The sequence below is a fragment of the Homo sapiens genome, chromosome 14 (genome assembly GCF_000001405.40).
Source record: "Homo sapiens chromosome 14, GRCh38.p14 Primary Assembly".
Lineage (NCBI taxonomy): Eukaryota > Metazoa > Chordata > Mammalia > Primates > Hominidae > Homo > Homo sapiens.
Genome location: NC_000014.9, coordinates 105,093,572 through 105,120,579, shown reverse-complemented (window position 1 = coordinate 105,120,579; position 27,008 = coordinate 105,093,572). Strand labels below are relative to the sequence as shown.

The following is a 27,008-nucleotide window of genomic DNA, read 5'->3' as shown; positions in this document are numbered from 1 at the left end:
TCAGTCCATAGCAGCTTCCAAGGGTGGATCCGGTCACGCTTATCCATGTGTATTTCCTTATTGGAGCTGCTGGCCTGTGGGTGATTGCTCACCAGTGAGGAGGGGTCACTGGTTTGCTTGGTTAGACAGCCGAGACATGCACTCAGTGGCCCTCACTGACTGAGGTCAAGACGCCAGCACACCTCTGGTGTAGCTGAGAAAGAATGAGAGGGCTTAGTGAATGGGATACTGGAACGGTTTTGTCCTGTGTAGCTCATCCCTGCACCTCTATGCCTTGTAGATGTTCCCACCTCTTAGTGGGTGGATCCTTTCCTCTGAATGGGGAAAGGAATTTTACTCCAGAGCTCGGCCTCAGAGACTAGCTAACCACGTCATATTTCTTCATTCCTTTAACAAATGCTTCACAGTGTTCACTCTATGCCAGATCTTGCTCTGAAAACTTTGCAAAAATAATTCACTTAACCCGCAGCACCACAGGTGTTTTGCTGGTGATACTCTTATGATTCCCATTTTGCAGGTAAGAAATGCATAAAAGGGCTACATGGATGGCCATGGCCACAGAGCTGACAGAGCATCCTGACCCCTTTCCGGGTCACTCAGCATGAAGCTCCCACCTGCACACAAGGGGGAGAGGTCCCAGGCCCGCACCTCTCTCCTTGGCATGAATTTGGTCTCCAAATGTCCTGTGAGCACATACATGGACAAGAAGCACATGAGCCTCCCCAGAGCAGACAGGATTCTCAAGGATGCTATGCCAACTCTGGAAGGGTGCCCCTGCTGGGCGCCTCTGCCCTCTCTTGTCCCCCTTCCTGCGGGACAGACCCTCACAGGCCCAGCCTTGTGCAGAGCCCAGTTCCAGTCCCTGTCTGGGCAGAGCCTGTGGCCTGGCTGTGTCCCCAGAGCCCAGTACCTCCCAGACGCAGCTGGGTCCGACAGCCCTGCCCCTGCGGTTCCACATCGGCTCATCTGCATTTGGCCCCATCCCTCCTTCTGACCTCCCAACTTGGCTATGCATTTTACCCTTATTTTAGAAAATCAGCACTTCTGGCGCTTGGGGTTATAAACAGAGCTCTCGGCCCTGCCTGTTCAGGCGTCTTGGGCAGGAGAAACCAGCCTTTTGCCTGGGGCCTAGGGGTCCACTCCAGTCTTCCCAACCACAGCAAGGATTCCGTTGTCAGGAAGCACCTGTGCACAGAACATTCTCCCGGTGCCCCAGTGACGGACATTTCAAGCTGTTGCTGTGGAGCCGCCTGTGTGCAGGTTTTTTTGAGGGATGGCTCTATCACTGTGGGTGTACCGTGTCAAGAGCGAACACGTCTGAAGATGTCGGTGGGGGCAGTGGCGCTGCTCTGCACAGAGGCTGTGCTCTGTGTGAGCTCACCCAGAGAGGGAATAGAGTTCCCTTTCCAGCACTGGGAGTGGGTGGGGCTCCTATGAAGAACAAAAATATGTGACCTTATTTGTACCCCAAGCTGGTAGAACAGGTTGCACTGGCTATGTTTGTCTATAATGTCTTTTGCCATGAGATATTTTTAATTTTTACATGGATAAATCTGTCATTTCTTCCATCATGTATATTGCAAATGTATATATATTTTTTTTGCAAATTCAGAGTTCCTGGTGGAGTCTTTGCTGAGTAAAAGTCTTAAATGCTTATGGTTGAATCTGTCCATCGTTTTGGGATGTGTGTTGCAAGAAGCGTCCCTCAGTTTGTTCACTGTGGTTCTCTTAACTGATCAGAAGTTTGGAATTTTTGTGTAGTCAGGTCTGTCAGTCTTTCTTTGTGGCTTCTGTGCTTTTGTGGTGGGGTTGTTGAGGAGGACCACGAATGATAGCCCATCCCTCCCCCCACACATACACACACCAAATTCAGACCAAGTGAGGCCCATGAGTCAAACTGGTGGAAATGAAAATCTGGTTCAGTACTGACAGGGCTGGGTTGAGGCTGTGGATTAGATAAGCAGCTGCCATGGGCTCCATGGAGTGTGCCCCTCCAACAGACACCCTCTGGTGACAGTTGGATGGGAAAAATGAGGTAGAATCTGTCATTGTTGCTTCCCTCGTTTTCCACTAGCAAGCCCAGACAGGGAGATGGTCAGCATTTCTGAGGCGGCAGTAACAGAAGCCTCAGAGTCTCACCCCTAGACCTCATGTCATAGGATATTCATTTTGCTGTTATTTGTCTTGCCTAGGGGAATATGGTCCTGGAGCCAAACATAGGGGCATCTTATGGTTTCCCCAGTTTCTGGATTGTGGCAGGAATGGAAGCTTCCTGGAGAGGCGCATTGGATATCTTTTTGCTGTGTAATGAATCATCCCAAAGCTCAATGACCATGCATTCAGGTCATGGTTCTGTGGGTTGACAATTTGGGCTGGGCTCAGCAGGATGGTTCTGCTGGGCTTGGCTGGGTTCACGCTTGCATCTGTGCTCAGCTGTTGGTTCTGTAGTTAGTCGGTGGGTCAGCTGGGATCTAGCTGGTTCTTATTGGCATCACACACAGGTTTATCAGTTGATTGGTTTGGGGCTGGGGTGCTTCAACACTTACCCAGTTTCTTAGCCTCACCAATACTTGTTCACATTGTCCCAGCTCTCCAAGAGCACCAGAGCAGGAGCTCCAGAGCTTTACTTTCAATACCTTCTTTGGTCAAAGCTAGTCACAAGTCAGTCCCTAATGAGGGGGTCGGGGGAGGCGGCGAAATGGATCTACTTCTTGACTGCAGGAGCTGCAAAGGATCTGTGGCCATTTCTAATCTACCACAGCAGGACAATTCTGGAGTACCACTGTGAGAGCCGTGGCTGAGGCCCAGCTGAAACCCTGCTCTTCCTGCTGTCACAGTGCCCTTAATTCTCTCCATTCTGCCTTGATTCAATCCCTTTCTACCCAAAGTAGCCAGGATAAGTTTTTGTTATCCACAGCTGAATCCTGACTCCTACAGTATTTGACACCAGAAGTGACTGCAGATAACAGACCTTGGTGGGTGAGATTCTGGATGGTTTCTATGACCTGGTTGGGTTTGGGGGCCATGAGGATGAAGGGATATTTGGAGTCCGTGGCACCTGGTGAGACAGTTAATTAAGTAACCACCTGTGCTCACCTAGAGTGAAGCTCCTGTGCAGTGTGGGTCTGGTGATGGCAGCACAGTACAGCGGGCAGGAGGGGCACAGGCCTGTGGGCTGAGGTGGCTGCTCTGAGCTGCACTGGAGAGTCTCAGGAAACAAGATGACACAGTTGGGCTTTTCAAATGCTGAGCTCAAGGCCTGGTCAGAGAACAAGGTTTCCATCATCACTGAAAGAATCTCTTCTCTCTTAAGGCTGTTGAGTCTGGTGTGCCCTCAGGTCAGCCTCAGGGCATTATTGGGAGGTTTGCTGAATGCCAATGTAGACCGGACTTTCACCCTCCCTCAGGTCTCTTCTGTGAGAATCAGGGCATGGACTGGGAAGGTGTTGGACCCCAGAATCAGGAGGGGGGCGATGAGCTGCATACCCTGACAATCACACCAAGAGAAGTAGCCCCTGTTTGATGGGTCTGGTCCTGCATTGTTTGAAGACCTCTCTGTGACCTCACCTGATGTGGTTACTTTGCAAGCAGGTGCTGATTTCCATCCCACTCCACCACTACCAACCTCACCACTTCCAAACCTGCAATTACAATCAGATCCCGGCATGTCCCAGGGGTATCAGCACAAACCTAATTTGGGAAAAGAAGGCTTACACATCAAAAGGTTTGCAAGATTTGTCATTTATATTGTTAGAAGACTGGGGGTGTGTGTGTGGGGGTGGGTGGCTTCTGCAAACACTAGACCTGGGAGGGAAGCACAAACTTAAAGATTAGAGTCTGTTGAGCTGTGTGCATTTACAAGAGATTCTGAATTCAATATTTTTAGTTCAAGAAGCTGGAAGTGGCCGGGCGTGGGGGCTCATGCCTGTAATCCCAGCACTTTGGGAGTCCGAGGTAGGCGGATCACGAGGTCAGGAGATTGAGACCATCGTGGCTAACACAGTGAAACCCTGTCTCTACTAAATATACAAAAAATTAGCCGGGCATGGTGGCGGGCACCTGTAGCCCCAGCTACACAGGAGGCTGAGCCAGGAGAATGGTGTGAACCCGGGAGGTGGAGCTTGCAGTGAGTGGAGATTGCGCCACTGCACTCCAGCCTGGGCGACAGAGCAAGACTCCATCTCAAAAAAAAAAAAAAAAAAAGAAAAAGCTGGAAGTGTCTCTAACATTTTTCTTCGTTGGTTGATTGAAGCCTGAGCTCCAGAGTCACCTCCATCATTGGAGGCTGAGCCGCTGAAGTGCCTTGGCATGACATAGAGGAAGGAGTGCAAAGTGAGGAGAGAGGCACTCATCCCCTGACTCTCCCCATGAAGACCCTGAGGAAAAGCCCCTCACCACGGCCTGGGAAATAGGCAGGAGAGCAAATGCTGGCATTTGGGCCAGTCCCGAGGCTGTCCTCCACAGGTGGGAGTGAGAGAGGGAGATGCTGCTGTCAAAACGGCTCCCTGCCTGCCATGGGGATGATGGGCGACCACATCCCAAAGGGTCAGATCGTAAAGACAGAAGCAAAAATGAACGGACTCAGGTTGGTTAGAACAAATAAGTAAGTCTAGGAGCTAATTATTTGGGGATGAAATCAAAATAAAATAGAAAAGCAATGAGAAAACCCAATCAAGGAGAGAAAAGAGGCACTTGCCCTCCACGTCGCCCGCCTGGCCCTCTTCCAAGTGCACTTTCCTTCCTTTCCTTCCTGCTCTAAAACTTTTTAATGAACCTTTGCCTCTGCTCTGAAACTGGCCTCGGTCTCTCCTTCTGCCTTGTGCCCCACAGTCAAATTCTTTCTTCTGAGGAGGCAAGAATTGAGGTTGCTGCAGACCCCTACAGACTCACCACCGGTAGCTCGGATTCCTGCCACCAATAGCATATGTTGGTGCTCTGTGACTTGGGTAACTTCTGCTGTTAACATACTTTGCTGCGTGACTCCAATATGTTCCCTAGTGGTAAGAGGCCTCTATGCCTCACCTTCTTCTGCTAGAGGCATTCAACCCCCATACGCAGTTTTCTTCTCCTCTTTCTCCTGCTTACTAACCAAACCCCAGAACAATTCCTCTTGGCCATAAGTGACTCTGCTCCCCTGGCTGATTTCTCAGCTCACCCTGGCAGGTGGCTTGCCAGGGTGGAAAGGATCTTAAGGTCCTCACCAAGCAGATTGGAGGTTAGAATTTGGCCCTCCTGGGCAGGAGGCTCTCGACAGTGGTGAGGCTAAGGCCTAAACCCATGCAATGTCTGGGGTTTCCTCTGCTTTTTCAACAAAAACCAGCTCTTTTCCCAAAAACCTGCACTGCCCATTCTCCTAATTTCTCTTTGTGTTCTGAAAGGGCCTTCAGCACCCAGGCGGACCATCTACCTCTGCTTCCACCCCGTGTGCCACGTGACTTCTTAAACACACTCCCTGGCCGGGCGTGTTGGCTCATGCCTGTAATCCCAGCACTTTGGTAGGCCTAGGCAGGCAGATCACGAGGTCAGGAGATGGAGACCATCCTGGCCAACATGGTGAAACTCCGTCTCTACTAAAAACACAAAAATTAGCCAGGCGTGGCAGTGGGCACCTGTAGTCCCAGCTACTCGGGAGGCTGAGGCAGGAGAATGGCGTGAACCCGGGAGGCGGAGCTTGCAGTGAGCCAAGATCGCACCACTGCCCTCCAGCCTGGGCGACAGAGCGAGACTCCGTCTCAAAAAAACCAAAACAAACAAAAAAAAACACACACTCCCTCCTTTGGTCCCATCCCTCCTTCTGACCTCCCAACTTGGCCATGCATTCGCGTGCTCGCGGCTCTTGCTGTGTTTGTGGGGCAGCAGAGACATGGGTTCCCGTGCAGACATCCCCTGAGAGTCACGCTTATTTTTTTAAAAAAAAGAAGAGAAAGTTGAAATATACAACAAGAAGAAAATAATCCCAGATATCAAAAAGATTGTTTACATTACAAGAGCACATTTTGATGAACACCAAGCAAATAAATCAGGCCTTGGTTACGACATTATTCTTACAGAAAATATTATAATGAATGATTATAATAATATTATAGCAGATCTCTGAAGAGATTTAAAAATCTAAGCACACGAAGTGATGCAGACCATTTTTAAAATGTGAACCTTTTATTTATTATTATTTTTTGAGACAGAGTCTTGCTCTATAATCCAGGCTGGAGTGCAGTGGTGTGATCTTGGCTCACTGCAACCTCCGCCTCCCGGGTTCAAACAATTCTCCTGCTTCAGCCTCCCAAGCAGCTGAGATTACAGACTAGTTTTTGTATTTTTATTTTTATTTATTTATTTTTCGAGATGGAATTTCGCTCTTGTTGCCCAGGCTAGAGTATAATGGCGTGGTCTTAGCTCCCTGCAAGCTCCGCCTCCCGGGTTCAGGCGATTCTCCTGCCTCAGCCTCCCAAGAAGCTGGGACTACAGGCACCCACCACCACGCCTGGCTACTTTTTTGTATTTATTTATTTTTTGAGACGGAGTCTCGCTCTGTCGCCCAGGCTGGAGTGCAGTGGTGCGATCTTGGCTCACTGCAAGCTCCGCCTCCCGGGTTCACGCCATTCTCCTGCCTCAGCCTCCCGAGTAGCTGGGACTACAGGCGCCCGCCACCGCGCCCGGATAATTTTTTGTATTTTTAAGAGACAGGGTTTCACCGTGTTAGCCAAGATGGTCTCGATCTCCTGACCTCGTGATCTGCCCGCCTCGGCCTCCCAAAGTGCTGGGATTACAGGTGTGAGCCACCGTGCCTGGCCCCCACTTTTTTGTATTTTTAGTAGAGACAGGGTTTCACCATGTTGGCCAGGCTGGTCTCAAACTCCTGACCTCAGATGATCCACCCGCCTCGGCCTCCCAAAGTGCTGGGATTACAGGCTCAGTGAGCCACCGCACTCAACCCCATTTTTAATTTTTAAAAATGTTAAAACAAATTTTTTTTTTGAAACAGCTCACTCTGTCGCCCAGGCTGAGTGCAGTGGCGCAATCTTGGCTCACTGCAACCTCCACCTCCTGGGTTCAAGCAATTCTCCTGCCTCATCCTCCCAAGTAGCTGGGACTACAGGTGCATGCTGTCATGCCCAGCTAATTTCTTTTGTATTTTAGTAGAGACAGGGTTTCACCATGTTGCCCAGGCTGGTCTCGAACTCCTGAGCTTAGGCAATCCACCCGCCTTGGCCTCCCAAAGTACTAGGATTACAGGCGTGAGCCACCACGCCTGGCCTAGATTTTGTCTTAAAAAAAAAAAGAAAAGAAAAGAAATCTATTAATAAAAATAACATATTTAAAAAATAATATTGATAGCTGGGCGTGGTGGTGCACACCTGTAGTCCCAGCTACTCAGGAGGCTGAGGCTGAGGCAGGAAAATCGCTTCAACCTGGGAGGCAGAGGTTGCAGTGAGCCGAGATTGCACCACTGCACTCCACCCAGACAACAGAGCAAGACTCCGTCTCAAAAAATAAAATAAAATAAAAGGAAAAGAAAAAAGAAATTTCAGGCAGAGGAAGTCGCGGCGCCGGAGGCCCCAGAAGGGTCGAAGGCGCCGCGGGCTGGGGTCGGTGGCTTAGGGAGCCCGTCCGGCCATGGTGGCCGCGGCTGGTGGTTGGCGCGGCTGCGCTGCGGCCCGGGGCAGTGCGGAGCCAGGACAGTCGCGGCGCTGACGCCCGCGGGCCCCAGCTGCAGATATGAAGCGGAGCCGCTGCCGCGACCGACCGCAGCCGCCGCCGCCCGACCGCCGGGAGGATGGAGTTCAGCGGGCAGCGGAGCTGTCTCAGTCTTTGCCGCCGCGCCGGCGAGCGCCGCCCGGGAGGCAGCGGCTGGAGGAGCGGACGGGCCCCGCGGGGCCCGAGGGCAAGGAGCAGCCGCCTGCCTTGGCCTCCCAAAGTGCCGAGATTGCAGCCTCTGCCCGGCTGCCACCCCGTCTGGGAAGTGAGGAGTGTCTCTGCCTGGCCGCCCATCGTCTGGGATGTGAGGAGCCCCTCTGCCTGGCTGCCCAGTCTGGAAAGTGAGGAGCGTCTCCGCCCGGCCGCCATCCCATCTAGGAAGTGAGGAGCGCCTCTTCCCAGCCGCCATCACATCTAGGAAGTGAGGAGCGTCTCTGCCCGGCCGCCCATCGTCTGAGATGTGGGGAGCGCCTCTGCCCCGCCGCCCCATCTGGGATGTGAGGAGCGCCTCTGCCCGGCCGAGACCCCGTCTGGGAGGTGAGGAGCGTCTCTGCCCGGCCGCCCCGTCTGAGAAGTGAGGAGACCCTCTGCCTGGCAACCACCCCGTCTGAGAAGTGAGGAGCCTCTCCGCCCGGCAGCCACCCCATCTGGGAAGTGAGGAGCGTCTCCGCCCGGCAGCCACCCCGTCCGGGAGGGAGGTGGGGGGGGGGGGGGTCAGCCCCCCCGCCCGGCCAGCCGTGCCATCCGGGAGGGAGGTGGGGGGGTCGGCCCCCCGCCCGGCCAGCCGCCCCGTCCGGGAGGTGAGGGGCGCCTCTGCCCGGCCGCCCCTACTGGGAAGTGAGGAGCCCCTCAGCCTGGCCAGCCACCCCGTCCGGGAGGGAGATGGGGGGGTCAGCCCCCCGCCTGGCCAGCCGCCCCGTCCGGGAGGGAGGTAGGGGGGTCAGCCCCCCGCCTGGCCAGCCGCCCCGTCCGGGAGGGAGGTGGGGGGCTCAGCCCTCCGCCCGGCCAGCCGCCCCGTCTGGGAGGTGAGGGGCGCCTCTGCCCGGCCGCCCCTACTGGGAAGTGAGGAGCCCCTCTGCCCGGCCAGCCGCCCCGTCCGGGAGGGAGGTGGGGGGGTCGGCCCCCCGCCCGGCCAGCCGCCCCGTCCGGGAGGTGAGGGGCGCCTCTGCCCGGCCGCCCCTACTGGGAAGTGAGGAGCCCCTCAGCCCGGCCAGCCACCCCGTCCGGGAGGGAGATGGGGGGGTCAGCCCCCCCACCCGGCCAGCCGCCCCGTCCGGGAGGGAGGTAGGGGGGTCAGCCCCCCGCCTGGCCAGCCGCCCCGTCCGGGAGGGAGGTGGGGGGCTCAGCCCTCCGCCCGGCCAGCCGCCCCGTCTGGGAGGTGAGGGGCGCCTCTGCCCGGCCGCCCCTACTGGGAAGTGAGGAGCCCCTCTGCCCGGCCAGCCGCCCCGTCCGGGAGGGAGGTGGGGGGGTCGGCCCCCCGCCCGGCCAGCCGCCCCGTCCGGGAGGTGAGGGGCGCCTCTGCCTGGCCGCCCCTACTGGGAAGTGAGGAGCCCCTCTGCCCGGCCACCACCCCGTCTGGGAGGTGTGCCCAACAGCTCATTGAGAACGGGCCAGGATGACAATGGCGGCTTTGTGGAATAGAAAGGCGGGAAAGGTGGGGAAAAGATTGAGAAATCGGATGGTTGCCGTGTCTGTGTAGAAAGAAGTAGACATGGGAGACTTTTCATTTTGTTCTGCACTAAGAAAAATTCCTCTGCCTTGGGATCCTGTTGATCTGTGACCTTACCCCCAACCCTGTGCTCTCTGAAACATGTGCTGTGTCCACTCAGGGTTAAATGGATTAAGGGCGGTGCAAGATGTGCTTTGTTAAACAGATGCTTGAAGGCAGCATGCTCGTTAAGAGTCATCACCAATCCCTAATCTCAAGTAATCAGGGACACAAACACTGCGGAAGGCCGCAGGGTCCTCTGCCTAGGAAAACCAGAGACCTTTGTTCACTTGTTTATCTGCTGACCTTCCCTCCACTATTGTCCCATGACCCTGCCAAATCCCCCTCTGTGAGAAACACCCAAGAATTATCAATAAAAAAATAAATTAAAAAAAAAAAAAAAAAAAAAAAAAAAGAATGGACTTTCCCAGGCCAGCTGTGGTGGCTCACGACTGTAATCCCAGCACTGTGGCAGGCCAAGGCGGGCAGATCACCTGAGATCAGGAGTTCAAGACCAGCCTGACCAACACGGAGAAACCCCGTCTCTACTAAAAATAAAAAAAAATAGCTGGGCGTGGTGGTGCATGCCTGTAATCCCAGCTACTTGGGAGGCTGAGGCAGGAGAATTGCTTGAACCCAGGAGGCAGAGGTTGTTGTGAGCTGAGATTGCACCATTGCACTCCAGCCTGGGCAACAAGAGGGAAACTCCATAAAAAAAAAAAAAAAAAAAGGACTTTCTCAAAGAAAATGTATTTAAATGTCTGCACCAATAATTCCAGCATGTGTATGAATAAATATGATATGTCCTTTACTAAAAAAAAAAAAACAAAACAAAAAAATAATAATAATATTGATAACAAAACTCCAAAATGTAGCACAATAATGTAAAATTACAGGCCGTAATGACAATCACTGCAATGTTATTGTCGTTTGCAATAACGACAATGCAAAAATACTAAATAAGATATTAGTAAATAGGATCAAGCAGCACATTTTTAAAAATTACACTCTGGGGCCAGGTATAATGGCTCACGCCTGTAATCCCCGTGTGTTGGGAGGTCAAGGCGGAAGGATTGCTTGAGGCCAGGTGAGACCAGCCTGGGAAACGTAACAAGATCCTGGCTCTACAGTGTTTGAAAAATTGCCTGGGCGTGGTGGTGCACACCTATAGTCCTAGCTACTCGGGAGGCTGAGCCAGGAGGAGCGCTTGAGCCTAGGAATTCGACGTTACAGTGAGCTATGATCACACCACTCCACTACAGCCGGGGTGACAGAAAAAAACAACAACATACACTTAAAAAAACAAACAACAACAAAAAAAACCCACACAACCAAACTCTGAAACCGAGTGACGTCTACCATGGAATCATGCAATGTTAAGAATGGCTCTTTTTTTTTTTTTTTTTTTTTTGAGACAGTCTCTCTCTCTCTCCCCAGGCTGGAATGCAGTGGTGAGATCTCGGCTCACTGCAACCTCTGCCTCCTGGGTTCAAGCAATTTTCCTGTCACAGCCTCCTGAGTAGCTGGGATTACAGGCACATGCCACCATGCCCAGCTAATTTTTGTATGTTTAGTAGAGACAGGGTTTCACCATGCTGGCCAGGCTGGTCTCCAACCCCTGACCTCAGGTGATCTGCCCGCCTCGGCCTCCAAAAGTGCTGGGATTACAGGCACGAGCCACCGCACCAGGACTTTTTTGTATTTTTTAGTAGAGACGAGGTTTCACCTTGTTGGCCAGGCTGGTCTCTAACTCCTGACCTCAAGTGATCCACCTGCCTCAGCCTCCCAAAGTGCCAGGATTACAGGCGTGAACCACTGCGGCCAGCCGGGATGGCTCATTAATGGAGAATATTTTAATACAATTCACCATATTAACAAATCAGAAGGCAGAAATTATTAACCTCTCCTTAGATACTTGAAGAGGCATTTTATAAAATTTAACATATTTTATTTTGTTGAGGTAATTTACATACAGTCAAATGGACAGATTTTTAAAACAATCCTAAACCTACAGAAAAGTTTCAACTTAGTTTCTGGAACCATTTGAGAGTAAGTTGCTGACCCGATGCCCCATCACCCTCAGATACTTTAGTGTGTGGTTAGAGCAAGAATATTCTCCTAAATAATAAAAATCCAACTCTCAAAGTCAGGAAACTGGCCGGGCGTAGTGGCTCACGCCTGTAATCCCAGCACTTTGGGAGGCCAAGGTGGGCAGATCACGAGGTCAGGAGATCGAGACCATCCTGGCCAACATGGTGAAATCCCGTCTCTACTAAAAATACAAAATTTAGCCAGACGTGGTGGCGGGCGCCTGTAATCCCAGCTACTCGGGAGGCTGAGGCAGAAGAATCGCTGGAACCCAGGAGGTGGGGGTTGCACTGAGCCGAGATTGCGCCACTGTACTCCAGCCTGGCAACAGAGCTACACTCCATCTCAAAAACAAACAAACAAACAAAAAACACCAAACAAAGTCAGGAAACTGACGCTGATAGAGCAGTGCCTTCTAGTTGATAAAATCCCTGCAGATTTCATCATTTTCCTCACACGATCCCGCCTGGAACTCCACACTGCATTTGGTTGCCCCATCTCTCCAGTCTCCTTCCATTTGGATTTGTTCTTCAGGATTTCCTTTACTTTTATGTCCTTGACACATGGGAAAAATCACACGCCAGTTATTTTGTAGGATGTTTCTCAGTCTGGATCTGCCTGAGGTTTCCTCATTGTTAGATTCAGGATGTACATTGTTGTTAGGAACATCTCAGAAGACAGGCTGTGTTCCCAGGGCACCCCATCAGGTGAACACACATTTCACTTTGCCCTGTTACACACGGTCTGCACCTTGATCAGTTCTCAGAATGTGAAGCTGCTCTCTCTCCCTCTGTAATTACTGAGAATTTTGTGAGAAGGTATATTGAGACTATGCAAATATCCTAGTCCTCATAAGTCATATAATTAATACCTATCAGTGTGGATTCATGAATTCTTATTTATTCAATGCATTCTAATTGTAACTTTCAGTATTTATTTTATAGCTCAAATCATCCCAGATTTGGCCACTGGGAGTGCCTTTAAGCTAGCTTCTGTGTCTTTTTGACATGCCGCCTTCCTTTGTTTTTTTGTTTGTTTGTTTGTTTGAGACAGAGTCTTGCTCAGTCACCCAGGCTGGTGTACAGTGGCGTGATCACGGCTCACTGCAGCTGCAGCTCCTGGGTTCACGGGACCCTCCCACCTCAGCCTCCCAGGTAGCTGAGACTATAGGTGCTTGCTACCAGTCCCGGCTAATTTTCTGTTTTTTTTTTTTTTTTTTGAGACAGAGTCTGGCTCTGCCACCCAGGATGGAGTGCAGTGGCGTGATCTCGGCTCACTGCAACCTCCACCTCCCTGGTTCAAGTAATTCTCCTGCCTCAGCCTCCCGAGTAGCTAGGACTACAGGTGTGCGCCAACATGCCTGGCTAATTTTTTATATTTTAGTAGAGACGGGTTTCACCATGTTTCCAAAGCTGGTCTCGAACTCCTGAGCTCAGGCAATCCACCCTCCTCAGCCTCCTAAAGTGCTGGGATTACAGGCATGAGCCACTGCGCCCAGCGAGTCCCAGCTGATTTTTACAAAACTGTTTGTAGAACCAGGGTCTAGCTATGTTGCCCAGGCTGGTCGCGAAGTCCTGGGCTCAAGGGATCCTCCCACCTCAGCCTCCCAAGCATCTGGGATTACAGGTGTGCACCACCACACAGGCCCCTTCATTCTTGAAGCACAACTTACTCTCTGATAAACACAGTGTTCCAGGCTCCCCTTATATGTTCCCTGAACCAACCTAGTAACTAGCCATTCCTTCAAGGATCCCTAATTCCTTTTGGTGGAAGATGGTATTTCAATATACAGATCTGAAGTGTACAATTCAATGAGATTTGAGAAATGTATGCACCACTGCAGACAATAGCCCCAAAGTATAAGCCATTTCCATCACCCCAAAAAGTCACTTTGCCTCTTGAAGATTATTCCTAACCCCATAAGTAATCACTCTTCTGATTTCTCTCAACACAGATTCATTTTGCCTGTGAATTCATGATTATAGTCAAATGAATTCATTTATTCTTCATTTGAATAGAAATATTAAGTACACATGTTTTTTGTGTTTGGCATTTTTTATTCAATCTAAAGTTTTTGAGGTTCATTCATGTTGTGGCATACATCAGTCATTCATTTTTGTTTTTGCCACGTAGTATTTCATGGTAGGGCTCTACCACAATTTCTTTATCACCTTGATAATGCTCTGGCATTATAGGCATTAGCCACCATGCCTGACCCTTCTCTCTCTCTTTCTCTCTTTTCTGGAGACAGGGTCTTGCTCTGTCACCCGGGCTGGAGTGCAGTGGTGATCATAGCTCACTGCAGCCTCGAACTCCTGGGTTCAAGTCATAGTCCTGCTTCAGTCTCCCAAGTAACTAAGACTACAGGATTGTGCCACCATTCCTGACTCTGTGTGTGTGCGTGTGTGTATGTGTGTGTGCAGATGGGGTTTTGCTATATTGCCCAGGCTGGTCTTGAACTCTTGGCCTAAGGCAATCCTCCCACCTCAGCTTCCCAAAACGGTGGGGTTACAGTGTGAGCCACCATGCCTGGCCTTATAGTTTTGATTTCACCATGGAGATTTCATGTTTGTCTATTCATTTTCCTCATTTGCTCCTTTAATCTTTGGACAGATTTACAATAGATCTTTTAAAGTTAAGGTCTGCTAATTCCAACATCTGTTCACCTGGAGATCTATTTCTGTTTACTTCTATTGTACTGGAAAATCATCTTGAACATATCAAGCTCGGCTTCTGCTTGTTTTTAAATTTATTTTTATTTTGTTTTGAGACGGGGTCTCACTCTGTTGCCTAGGCTTGAATGCAGTGGTGTGATCATGGCTCACTGCAGCCTCAAACTCCTAGGCTCAAGTGATCCTCCCATCTCAGCCTCCTGGATAGCTGGAACTACAAGTACCCACCACAGCACCTGGCTGGTTGTTTTGTGATAATAGAAAATAATGTTATCAAAACATTCATATGGCTCATGCCTGTAATCTCAACACTTTGGGAGGCCAAGGCGAGAGGATTGCTTGAGCCCCGAAATTGGAGACAAGTTTCTGCAACATCGTGAGACCCTGTCTTTTCAAACAAAATAATTAAAAAATAAAAATAAATTAGCTGGGCATGGTGTCGCGTGTCTGTAATCCCAGCTACTTGAGAGGCTGAAGTGGGAGGATTGTTTGAACCCAGGAGGTTAAAGTGAACTATGATTGTACCACTGTACTTCAGCCTGGAAAACAGGGAGACCCTGTCTCAAAAAGAAAAATGTTTATTCTTAATTGTAAATTGAGCAAAATTATACATTATAAAATAATATCTCTGATACCATCCCTTATTTGTAAAAATTTGACAATGGCTATGTAAGCATAGAAAGGACTAGAAGGAAATATTTTACAACCACAGCAAATGACTTTAGTCTTCTCTGAGCCTTCGGTTTTCTGCAATGAATATGCTTGTAGATGTCCTCGGTTTTCCTTATCTCAAGCTTTTATTTTTATGTGATAAGAACACTTCACATGGGATCTGCACTCCTCTGTAGGGTAGTACACTGCAGTAATGTTAACTATGGGGACGATGTTGTATAGGAGATCTCTAGAACTTATTCGTCTTGCGTAATTGATACTTTATGCCCATTGATTAGAAACTCCCCATTTCCCCCTCCTCCCAGCTCCTGGCAGGCAAACAACATTCTATTCCCTGACTTTATGAGTTTGACTCTTTCAGATACCTCACATAAGCGGAATCAGGTAGCGTTTGACTTCCTGTTTTTGTTTCTGTCTTCTTTTCCTGTTTTCCTGTGCCTTATCCCTCTTCTCGTGTTTTCTTTTTTGGGTTTGTTGATATTTTTGTGTTGCTATGCTTTGATTCCTTTCTCCTTTTCTTTTTTGTAACTTCTATAGGTATTTTCTTTGTGTTTACCATAGCGCTTACATAAAATATCTTATAATTAAAATAGTGTGTTTTAAGCTGATAACAACTTAACTTCAATCACATAAGTAAATTCTACACTTTTACCATTCCTCCTACTTTATGTTACTGATGTCACAATTAACATCGACTTATATTGTGCACCCATTAAAATATTTTTAGCTGTAGTTATCTTCAATAATTCTGTAATTTAACTTTTATGTTAGAACTAAAAGTGATTTACCCACCACCATGACAGTAATACAGTATTCTGTATTTGTGTATATAGTTACCCTTGTCAAAGAGTTTTATGTGGCTGGGCACGGTGGCTCATATCTGTAATCCCAGCACTTTGAGAGGCCGAGAAGGGCGGATTACCTGAGGTCAGAAGTTCACGACCAGCCTGGCCAACATGGTGAAACCCCGTCTCTACTAAAAATACAAAAATTAGCCGGGTGTGGTGGCGCATGCCTGTAATCCCAGCTACTTGGGAGGCTGAGGCAGGAGAATTGCTTGAACCTGGGAGGTGGAGGTTGTAGTGAGCTGAGATGGTGTCATTGTACTCTAGCCTGGGCGACAAGAGCGAAACTCCATCTCAAAAAAAACCAAAAACAAAAAACAAATAAATAAAAAGAGTTTTATGTTTTCTTATGCTATCATGTTGCTGTTTATTGTCCTTTCATTTCCAGTGAAATAACTCCCTTCATTATTTCTTACAAGGCAAGTTCATAGTGAAGAACAGTGTCAGCTTTTGTTTGTCTGGAAAGTATGTCGCTCATCTTCATTTCTGAAAGACAGTTTTTTCCCAGGCACAGTATTCTTGCTTGGTAGTTTTAAAAATGTCAGCACTTTGAGTATGTCATCCCATTCCCTCTGGTTTGCAAGATTTCTGAAAAATTAGCTTATTTCTTATGGAGATTCTTTTAAATGTGACAAGTCACTTTTCCCTGCTGCTTTCTAATTCTTTGTCTTTGACAACTTGATTTTAATGTCCCTTGCTGTAAATGTCTTTGAGTTCATCTTATTTGGGATCTTTTGGGCTTCTTGAATCTGGGTGTCCATTTTCTTCCACAGATCTGAGGAGTTTTCAACCGTTATTTCTTTGAATATAATGATTCTTTCCCTTATCTTTCTGGGACTCCCTTAATGCATCTATTGGTCTGATTGATGGTGTCCCATAAGTCCCTTCTACTTTCTTTACTCTTTTTCTTTTTTTCCGTTTGCTCCTATGATTAATTTCCAATGACCTTTCTTTGAGTTCACTGATCCTTTTTTCTGCTTGATCCAGTCTACTGTTCCCCTCATCTAGTGACTTTTTCAGTGCAGTTATCATATTCTTCAGCTCCATGATTTCTGTTTGGTACTTTTTAGCATTTTCTGTCTCTTTGTTGAAATTCTCCCATTGTTCATACATTGTTTTCCTGTCTTCAGTGAGCAATTTTATGATAGTTATTTAAAATTCTCTGTCTGATAAATCATATAACTCCATATCACTAGGGTCAGTTTCTGGAGATTTATCTTATTCCTTTGTTTGAAACATTGTTCCCTGTTTCTTCATTTTCTTGCCTTTCTCTGTTGCTGTCTGAACATTCAACAAAGCAGGCCTCTGTCAAGTTTTCACGAACTGGCCAGGTACAGGAGGAGACCCTCACCAATCAGCCAAGCCAAAGATTCTGGGGGCCTCTCTAAACTTCCTGCTGGCCCAACCCACTTTCTCTGTTTTCTGGAGCCCCCGGGTGTCTGGAGTATGCCAAGTCCTGTCAGCATTTTAGACAAGTGACTGAAAGAAGTTCCTCAGGTAGCCTCCAGAAAACTGGATTGTTGGGTGTTCTGTCCAACTCTTTTCTTCCCTAGGGAGAAGCCTGAATCTAAGGTGTGTTTTTGTTGTTTTTCCTGTTCACTCTGTGCTGAGTTGGACTGTGGTGACTAGTTGCACTTTAGATCATCCCACCAGGTCTCTTTCCATGGCCCTGAGGCAGTGGGGTTATGCTACGTCCCATCCGCACTCTGAGACAGGCAACACAGAAGTCAGCCCCCTAGGTAGCCCTCAGAAAAGTTGAGGTGTTGAATACACAGCTCATCTCTTTCTCACTCCATGGTAAGCTGGGAGCTAGGGGATTTCCTCTCAGTCATATGGCACTGTGCTGGGGGTAGGGATTATGCCAAGAGGGTGTCTTGAATTTCCCTGCCAGTTTCAATGTGAGTAGATTCATGCTTACCTGGAATGCGTGAGATGCTCAGCTAGTTTCTGGATTTCTTGCAAAGGGAATTTTCAGGAATTGTTGTTGAGTTGATGTGTTCATGGTTTTGAAAAGGAGAGTCCAGAGCTTCCAATTCCATCATTTTGCTGATATCACTGCAGGCTTGATTTTATGCTTTGTAAGGGTGAGTCTGTTTTGGTTGTGTTCTTAGTTCTGTGCTTTGGCCATTATTCTGGAGTGCGATTCTTATTCTTAAGCCATGGCCTTTCTGATTTCTCAACTGATTGCCTGAGGGGCTTGGTGAGGTTTCTCCACCCTAGCTGGGCAAGAACTGCAATGTCGCCTAGCACTGCACACTGCTGGGCTTGTCTGTCAGCTCCCAGCCCCACAGCAGCAGCTTCCCGCTAGGCCTTGTGAAGGATCACCTTGCACATGTACAGCCTGGCCTCATCCAGGGACCTGAGGGACCCCCATGCAGCCTCTGCACCCTCATTCTACGTAGCACCCTCCCCTCCAGTGCCCTGCTCTACCAATCGTAGCCACCTCAGCACTGATCTCTGCTTTCCCAGCCAGTGATCGCTGGCTGATGATCTCTGCTGCGGCTTTATCTCTCATACCTTGGTAGGAAAACCCAAGGTAAAAAGACAGGGCAAACTTGGACTCACTTCAGGTATTTCCCTTCTCTCAGCTATCACAGTCCTACCAGTTGTCCAATTCCTGTACATAACTGCCTTATACATTTGGCCCAACTTTATCGTTGTTTATGGCAGGAGGCTAAGTATAAATCTCATTACTCGTCGTGCCCAGAATCAACTTGCATTCTCAGTAATACTTTCTCAATGTGCTGCCATTCATTTATGTCAGCCTCAAAGCTACTCCTGTGTCAAATGGGGAAGATACTAGAAGCATCTCTGTCAAGGTGAAAGCTCAGGAAGGTGTCTTCTATCATCACTGTTATTTAATTTTTTTGCAATTGGAAGAGAGAAAGAAATTAAGTTTAAAAAATGCAAAGGAGGAAATACAATATCACTTTTTGCAGATGACATGATTAAGTCCTTGGAAAATCCAAGAGAATCAATTTAATTTCTATGACAAACAATATTTAAGTTTTGTGGCTGGAGGCCGGGCACGGTGGCTCACACCTGTAATTCCAGCACTTTGGGAGGCCGAGGTGGGCGGATCACGAGGTCAGGAGATCAAGACCATCTTGGCTAACACAGTGAAACCCCATCTCTACTGAAAATACAAAAACAATTAGCCGGGCCTGGTGGCAGGTGCCTGTAGTCCCAGCTACTCAGGAGGCTGAGGCAGGAGAATGGTGTGAACTCTGGAGGCAGAGCTTGCAGTGAGCCAAGATCACACCACTGCACTCCGGCCTGGGTGACAGAGCGAGACTCCATCTAAAAAAAAAAAAAAAAAGTTTTGTGGCTGGGACGAAAGTAACATGATAATTAGCCTTCATCTACATAAAAAATGACTTGTGAGCAGGAATATTGATGAGAAAAAATATCTCATTTACCACAGCACCAAAAAAAAAAAAATAAAACCTAGGAATAAACCTAAAAAGAAACATGTACAATCAAAAAGAAGAACACTTTAAATCCACTGAGGGACATGAAAGGAGACCTGAGAGAATGAAAGGCATATCGTGTTCTCAGATCCAGTGGTTGAACATCATAAGACAACAATCTTCACTGCGAGGAACTTATCCTATGGATATGTTCTCGTGTGTGAAGTGAGGTATGTGCAAGGTTATTCATTGTAGCATTGTCCATAACAGTGGTGCAGGGCAGGCACACCCCCAAATCGGGGCTTAGCCCAGGAGGGTTCCTGGCTTCACCCAGGGAAGAATTCAGAGGCAAGCTGCTGTGCATAGCAGAGCAGCCATGCATGGCAGCAACACAGGAACTGTCCCTTGTGGAGCAGGGCCACCCACAGGCAGTATGCCCAGAGCAGCGCTCAGAGGCAGCTCTGCACTCAGATTTATACCCACTTTTAATTACATGCAAATTAAGGGGTAGTTTATGCAGACATTTCTAGGGTGAGGGTGGTAACTTCTGGGTTGCCAGGTCATTGCCATGGAAAGATGCCATAACTTCTAGATGTTGCCATGGTAGTGGTAAACTGACATGGCACACTGGTGGGTGTGTCTTATAGGGAGGTGCCTCTGCCCTGGACCTGCTTAGGTAGTCCTCAATTTGGTCCAGTGTCTGAGCCCTACCTCCAGAGTTGAGTTCTGTTTCCTACCTCAATAGCAAAGAGTTTGGAAACAACTCAAAAGGTCGATGAGGCTGGTTAAATAAATCATATTACACATCCAGAGTGGTGGTATACTGCCATTAACAAAAACGAGGCTGGGTGGAGTGGCTCATGCCTGTAGTGTCAGCAGTTTGGGAGGCCTAGGCAGGGGGACTGCTTGAGTCCAGGAGTTCAAGACCAGCCTGGGCAACAAAGCAAGACCCAGTCTCTAAAAGAACATGTGAAAATTAGCCGGGCATGGTGGCACATGCCTTTAGTACCAGCTACTCGGGAGGCTGAGGACGGAGGACTGCTGAGCCCAGAAGGTCCAGGCTGTAGTGAGCTATGATTGTGCCAATGCACTCCAGCCTGGGCAACAGATGAGACCTTGTCTTAAACAAAAACAAAAACAAAAACCCAAGAAAACAAGGGCAAGACAAGTTGCCAGGCACTGATAAAGGATGATCTGCAAGACTGATGGTTCAGTGGAAAAATCGAGGTGCTAGTCGGACAGCATGTGATCACTTGTGATGTACGTGTGGCATGCACATGTGTCTGGTTTTGTATGTTAGAAATGTCTTGGCTTTAAGTAAAAGAAAATCCAACCTAGCATGAGGCCAACAAACAGGGGTTTATTTTTCTCCCTTGAAACCGAGAGGCAGTGGCCCCAGTCCTGACTCAGCTGCCCAACCGTACCATTGCCATCTTAGGCTTCTCTTTCCATTCTGCCCTCTGAAGCAGGATGGCATTTCCCTCAGTCTTGCTGCCTCCTATTTGCAAGATGGCTGACTCATCTCCAAACATGACGGCAATGCAATGTTCGAATCAAGAAGAAAGGGGAAATGCAAAAAGGTGACTGGTCCTACATGTTACTGGAAAAGCAAACGCTTTCTGATTGCACCTGTCAGCAAGTGTTTCTTGTATCTCGTTGGCCAGAATGGAGTCACATGACTGCTCCTAGCTGCAAGGGAGGCTGGGAAATAGAGCATTTAACTTCCAGGACTCTGCAACAGAGAAAGGCAAAGAAGAAGAGGTTAAGAATGAGTGGTGGGGCCAGGCATGGTGGCTCATGCCTATAATCCCAGCACTTTGGGAAGCTGAGGAGGGTAGATTGCTGGAGCCCAAGAGTTCAAGACTAGCCTGGGCAACAAGGTGAAACCCCATTCTAAAAAACAAACAAACAAACAAAAACAAACAAAACAGTGGTGGGTGACTCACTTTACTAGGTTGGTCGTACTTAGAAAGTCTTCAAAAGGACACATAAGAAATTGGTAATTGGGAGTTCAAGACAAGCCTGGCCAAATGGTGAAACCCCATCTTTACTAAAAGTACAAAATTTAGGGTATGGTTGTGGGTGCCTGTAATCCCAGCAACTCTGGAGGCTGAGGCAGGAGAGTCGCTTGAACCCAGGAGGCGGAGGTTGCAGTGAGTCATGATCGCGCCATTGCACTTCAGCCTGGGCAACAGAGTGAGACTCCATCTCAAAAAAAAAAAAAAAAAAAAGAAAGAAAGAAATCAAAGTAGTAACCACACCTGTATCCCACCGCACACGCACGAAAACAAACACACACTTCCCAAAGCCCCCAGCACAGTGGCATTCACAGCACCCATATCCCAAACCTGTGGGGAACAGATAATCCACAGGATATGTCCGTTGTTCCAGAAAAGGAGAAGTTAAGGGAAAGTGGTCCTGCCCATTTGATGAAGCTCATAGACAGCTAGAAACGGGAACACAAATAAATTGCAACCCAGTTTTATAAAAATCTTGAAGTATCAGCTAACCAAAATCCAACAGAATACCAAGGTCACATAAAGTTTATCTCAGGAATATCAGAAGGGTTCAAATCAGACATGTTAACACAGAAATTCACCAGGTTCAAGAAGAAAAGTAAAGTCATCATGGGGGCTGGGCATGGTGACGCCTGCCTGTGGTCTTGGCTACTTGGAGGCTGACGTGAGAGGATCACTTGAGCCCAACAGGTCGAGGCTGCAGTGAGTCCAGATCACACCACTGCCCTCCAGCCTGGGCGACACAGCGAGACCCTGTCTCAAAAAAAAAATTGTAATCATTATATTGATGTGGAATATGGCATTTGATAACATTTATTATACTCATGATTTAAAGATTTTTTAAAGTAGAGAATAAGAACGAGAGGGCATTTTCCTATAAGGACTGTCTTCCTCACACCTGTGGCCAGCATCGCAGGGAGACTGCCCGTGACCTCCCTCTAAGGTTGGGAAGCACCGGGCGGCTGCTCTCAGTCACTCTTCCATATCATCCTGGAAGTCCTGGCCGATGCAACGAGACAGGAAAAAGAAATCAGCCTTTGAGGAGCAATATCAAGGAAGGCAAAGTTATATTACCGTGTCTTTCATGGTAACATGGTTGCTTAATGTTGAATTTCCCAAATAACCAACAGTTAACTATTAGCACTGATCAGAGGTCAACAAGGGGGCCCAATACAAAGAAGTCAATAGCATTCTTTAAAGCCAGTAAAAAAAAAAAATAACAGGGAAGAGCTCATTTTCCAAAAGAACAAAAATTATAAAATATTCAAGAATTAATCTTGAAATCCACCTATCTTTTATGGGGGAAAAAAAAGCAAAAACAAAAAACTAAGCAACCTGAAATCTCTTTCCAGGCCATGTCAGAAGACTGGGCTAGAGAGTGCCATTCAGCCCTGTGTGGAGGGGCCTGGCGGGAGGTGCCCACCATTGCCCTGGCCGTGCTTGCCAGGTTCCAGTGCTCACATTCCTGCAGTTTGGAGGCCTAGGGGAGGCTCTGGGCCGTGGCAGGTGTCATGGCCCCTCGAGGCCTGCCTTGCACCCCAGCTGGCCCAGCGCTGCATTGAGCTGCCCTGGCCCCCTCTGCCCTCCCCATAAGCAATGCTGGGACCTGGCCTTCCTGTGGCAGCCCCTCCCCTGCTGGGCTACGTGGTTCAGGGACAGGACGCCCTGGCCCCTTGGCCCTACAGCTCAGTCACAGGTCAGTGGGCCGTGCTGGTGCTCTCTGTTCAGACCTCCAGGGCCTGAGCTCCTGAGATGCCGGGTGCTGACCAGGCCTGTCAGGGATCTTCCCAGCCACTGGGCCAGGATGCCAGGGCGTGCTGGAGCCTGCCTGTCTAATGCCTGGCTCAACCAAGCTGCTTCAGGTGTGTGTGTGTGTGTGTGTGTGTGTGTGTGTGTGTGTGTGTACGTGTGTGTGTTGTAGAGGGTTGGGAGGCAGGGGGACGGGCTGGACCTGCAGGGAATGGAGTCGGCTCCCTGAGCCCAGAGGGCAGCTTGAGCTTCCAGGACGACTTGAAGGGCACAGGCCCAGGGCTCCTCCCTTCTGTTTAGCTACCTGGGACTTGGATGTGCTGTGTGACACCAAGCCAGTCACTCCGCCTCTCTGGGAGGCTGCATCCCAGACAGGGGCTGAGCATCTCATTCTGCAGGCTCTTGGTGAGGGCTCTCCTTGCTGTGGTTTGGGGAAACACAGTATTTGACTCCGGCTTGGGGCTGAAATGGCAGGGCCCTGAAACCCAGCCGGGGAAGGCCAGAGAGGCAAGGGCTTCTCAACTGATGCAGACACAGGCCAGGTCGGGGGCACAAAGGAGGGGGTAGAGCTGGGTGGGACTCAGAAGGGGGCAGAGGCAGGACAGGGTTTGCAGAAGCAGTAACACCTGAGTTTCAGTGTGGGGCACAGAACCCGGGTGGGCGGACCTGTAAATAGCCAGACATAGCCTGACGGGGTGTGGGCTCTATTGAGGTTGTGGCCACAACAACAGCTTGGGTTTGATCTTGCAGGTACTGGGGAGCAATGGTGTGTGTGCTTCAGAGCAGAGGAGGGGGCAAGTCAGATGTGTGTTTGAGATGCTCTCTTGGCAGCCAGGATGGAGACAAGGTGAGTTGGGGAGCCAGGAATGGGACAGGGCTCAGAGTGGATAGACGTTTAGGAGGTTGAATTGATCAGAGACGGAGGGAAAGAGGTGGCTCCTGAGCCTGAACTGCCAGGGGAGGGGTGCCTCTGAGAGATGGAGGTCCCAGGCCACTGGAGACCCGCGTCGCACTTTGGAGAAGAGCCGGGGCTGGGGACAGAGGCATGTACAGGGTGGCATCACCGCCCTGCTCCCGGGATGGGGAGACCGAGGCTGGGGAAGGGGCTTAGGGATTGTCAGGATCTCTAGCACAGAGCTGGTGACCAAGCTGTGGGCATCATGAGTGTCCAGGAGGAAAGATCAGATCCCAGGTGAGAGAAGAGGGCTCAGGGAGAGGGTGAATTGTGGGCAGAGAAGAGAGGAAGACCTCCCTGGGGCAGCCATGGGACGGGAGCCAGGTGGGGTGTGGCCCCTGGGATGGGGGTGGTGTACACACCCACACAAGGTTGGCCTGGTGGGCCAGGGCCAGGCTGCACGGGCTGAGAGAAGCTGACGGCCTTGTCTGTGACCTCCAGGACCCCTGGGTCTGCCTCTGTGGGCCCCTAATCCTGGGCTCACAGACCTGCCAGCCTCCGTGCGTGCTGGCCTGTGCCTGGTGGGCACGGCTGGTGCAGGCTCCAAGGGGGCCTGGCAAAGCCTGGAGCTGGCCCAGGGGAGGCCTCCCCTGGCCAGGGAGTCTCCCGACCCCCACCTTGGAGGGATGTATCAGCCCCGGTGAGGCTTCTCAGACTCATTCTGGAGCTTCTCAAGGGCGCGAGATCAATTTGGCCGAGAAGGGCCAAGGGCCGAGCCTGCACCTTCCTTCTGCCCCAATGCTAGGTGAAACATTCAATGTCTGTTTAAATCTATAGAAAAGGGTGAATTTGAGAGTTGAGGATTTATCAAACTTCCAGCAGTTAAGTCCCTGGGAAACAGCACCAAAAGAGAGATAATAAAGGAACCAAAAGAAGAAACCACACAGGAGCAGATGGAGGCACCAACTGCATAAAGAATGGTGACTGCACACAGGCAAGATGCGCACAGCAGGTGGGAAACTTCTGTAACAAGTATGTCCACAGGCAGATCACCTTTACCTGTGAGGAGCTTGTGTGCACGAGGGCAACCTCGCAGCAGCGACGCCCACCACAGAATGCTGATGGCTCAATCCCAGCAGAAGTTTATTTAGGGCACAGAAAGCTGGAAACAAGGGCTTGACTGGAGGCAGCTCTGCAGCAGGTGGAGATTTGGACAGCGAGGGCTGTCCTGGAGGAAGTCCCAAGGTCCTCACTTCCCTCTGTAGGCCACCCTTGGTGTGGACAACAGCTGCAGACAGGAGACACGGAGGGGGCACACAGAGGTCTTAGGGTCTGGCCTCAGGTGATGTCCATCACATCTCTTTCTGTTGGTGAGAGCTAGTTACCTGGGCCCCCAGGGTGCAAGGCCGAGCTGGCATGGCATGCAGACCAACTAGTAGGATCTTCTTGCCAGCTCAGGGGACAATGCACACATGGAGAAGTGCAGTTGGATACCAGGCATCTGGGAAAATGCACATGCTCACTCTTTTTCAAAGAAATGCAGGTTCCAAAACCAAACACCATTAGAAAATAGACACCAGCCAACACAATCAAGATTAGAAGGTCTATGGTGAGACCACTGATGGAGCGTGAAGCTGGCCAAACTCTGGAGAGTGGTTGATGATACGTATCAAGAATCCAAAATCCAGCAGGGCGTGGTGGCTCACGCCTGTAATCCCAGCCAGGAATTCGAGACCAGCCTGGCCAACATGGCGAAACCCCGCCTCTACTAAAAATACAAAAATTAGCTGGGCATGGTGGTGCACGCCTGTAGTCCCAGCTACTCAGGAGGCTGAGGCATGAGAATCACTTGGCCTTGAGTGATTGCAGTGAGCAGAGATCGCACCACTGCACTACAGCCTGGGTAACAGAGTGAAGTGAGTCTCTAAATAAATAAATAAATAAACCTGAAATCCTAGAAATCTGTTTAATGGCTCAAGATGTTATCTTTCCAAAACTCGAATCTGACCCTGTCACTCCCCGGCTCAAACATCTCCAATGGCTCCCCACTGCCATCCTGGCCATGTTCCAGCCCAGGCCCCTCCCTCCAGCCTCATCTTCCATGCTGAGGTTTGCACCTCCACTGTGGTGGAGCACAGCGGGCATTTCTCCCTGGTGCACCTTTGCTTCTTTGGGCCCCTCTGCCTGGAATGCCCTTCCTGTTCCTGTCCAGACCCACTCGAGACACTCCTGCCCTGAGCACCTCCTGCCTCTCCCTCCTCACTCCAGACACTCCTGCCCTGAGCACCTCCTGCCTCTCCCTCCTCTCTGCCGCTCCCCCCACCCTCATGCTCTCACCCTAGCTCCTCCTGTTACTGGGTCCCTCTGGGAGCACCGTCCTGACCAGTGCCCAACCTGGGCCTGGGGGACAGAGGGGTCGGCACATGTAGGCTGAGCTGAGCTTTCGGGAGCGAGGAGGCCAGGCGCTGGGAGTGGTGGCCTTGCTGTAGGCTGAAGACACAGCTCGCAGCTCAGCCTGCCCTCCACCTGACCCCCCGGGCCCAGCCTTCCCTAGTGGGCCACGACCTTCCCACCAGGGCCCTCGGCCCTGCTCCTGCTGGCCCCTGCAGACCTCAGCTGAGTCCAAGCTCCTGGAGGGCAGGGAGGGTGAGCATCTCGTGTGTCCCCAGCGCACAGCTGCTGTGCCAGCTCCCGGTAGGGATTTGTTACAGGAATAAATGGGGTGGGGGTTGGAGGAGATGGAGGCAGGCCCTGACGCCGGCTCCTGGCGCACCCTCCAGGCCCTCTCCATCGCGGCTTCGCGGCTCCGGCTCTGGCCCCGCCCCAGCCTTCCCCGCCCTGCCGGGAACCTGGGGCCTCTCGGACCACGAAAGCCGCCCACACCTCCGCGGCTCCGCCCTCGCCTCTCGCTCCCCCAGCCTAGCCTGGACCCTCCGCTCTCCGGGGCTCAGCAGCGACCCCGATCGGCCACACGCAAGCCGCCCACATCGCCGCGGCAGCCACCTACCCCGGGACGCCCAACCAAGCCCTCGGGGGACCAAGCCCGGGGACTTCGTCCCCAACTCCAGGCCAGTCAAGCCACCCCACAGGGGCCCTGCCTGTCCCACCCGCAGCGTGCTGGGGGGTCCATGCTTGCGGTGATCAGGAGGGTGGCACGGCCCTGGGGTTACAGCCGGCGGAGGGGCTTCCCAAAAGAATCCTCAGCCTCTCCCGCCTGCGGCGGCGCAGCCCAGGCGGGGCTCGGCCCGCAGAATCC

General features: G+C 50.4%; 1 long non-coding RNA gene across 1 annotated transcript, besides 5 other annotated features; it reads right to left on the bottom strand.

Annotated features, from left to right (window-relative positions):
- Positions 499-998: an enhancer, noted in NCBI's record as "H3K4me1 hESC enhancer chr14:105585919-105586418 (GRCh37/hg19 assembly coordinates)". NCBI's record gives its function as "activates a minimal SCP1, AML or CMV promoter by ChIP-STARR-seq in naive H9 embryonic stem cells {active_cell/tissue: H9 hESC(naive)}" and the evidence as "EXISTENCE:reporter gene assay evidence [ECO:0000049][PMID:30033119]".
- Positions 19,448-19,597: an enhancer, noted in NCBI's record as "active region_9140". NCBI's record gives its function as "activates an Ori minimal core promoter by ATAC-STARR-seq in GM12878 lymphoblastoid cells {active_cell/tissue: GM12878}" and the evidence as "EXISTENCE:reporter gene assay evidence [ECO:0000049][PMID:35858748]".
- Positions 21,084-26,433, bottom strand: LINC02298 (long intergenic non-protein coding RNA 2298). The gene is made up of 6 exons (NR_110546.1): positions 26,364-26,433; positions 25,138-25,253; positions 24,812-25,040; positions 22,007-22,107; positions 21,690-21,861; positions 21,084-21,298 (listed from the first exon to the last, which is right to left on the bottom strand). It is a non-coding gene; the product is annotated as a long intergenic non-protein coding RNA 2298 (long non-coding RNA).
- Positions 26,280-26,902: an enhancer, noted in NCBI's record as "H3K27ac-H3K4me1 hESC enhancer chr14:105560015-105560637 (GRCh37/hg19 assembly coordinates)". NCBI's record gives its function as "activates a minimal SCP1, AML or CMV promoter by ChIP-STARR-seq in naive H9 embryonic stem cells {active_cell/tissue: H9 hESC(naive)}" and the evidence as "EXISTENCE:reporter gene assay evidence [ECO:0000049][PMID:30033119]".
- Positions 26,545-26,594: a silencer, noted in NCBI's record as "silent region_6220". NCBI's record gives its function as "represses an Ori minimal core promoter by ATAC-STARR-seq in GM12878 lymphoblastoid cells {active_cell/tissue: GM12878}" and the evidence as "EXISTENCE:reporter gene assay evidence [ECO:0000049][PMID:35858748]".
- Positions 26,765-26,814: a silencer, noted in NCBI's record as "silent region_6219". NCBI's record gives its function as "represses an Ori minimal core promoter by ATAC-STARR-seq in GM12878 lymphoblastoid cells {active_cell/tissue: GM12878}" and the evidence as "EXISTENCE:reporter gene assay evidence [ECO:0000049][PMID:35858748]".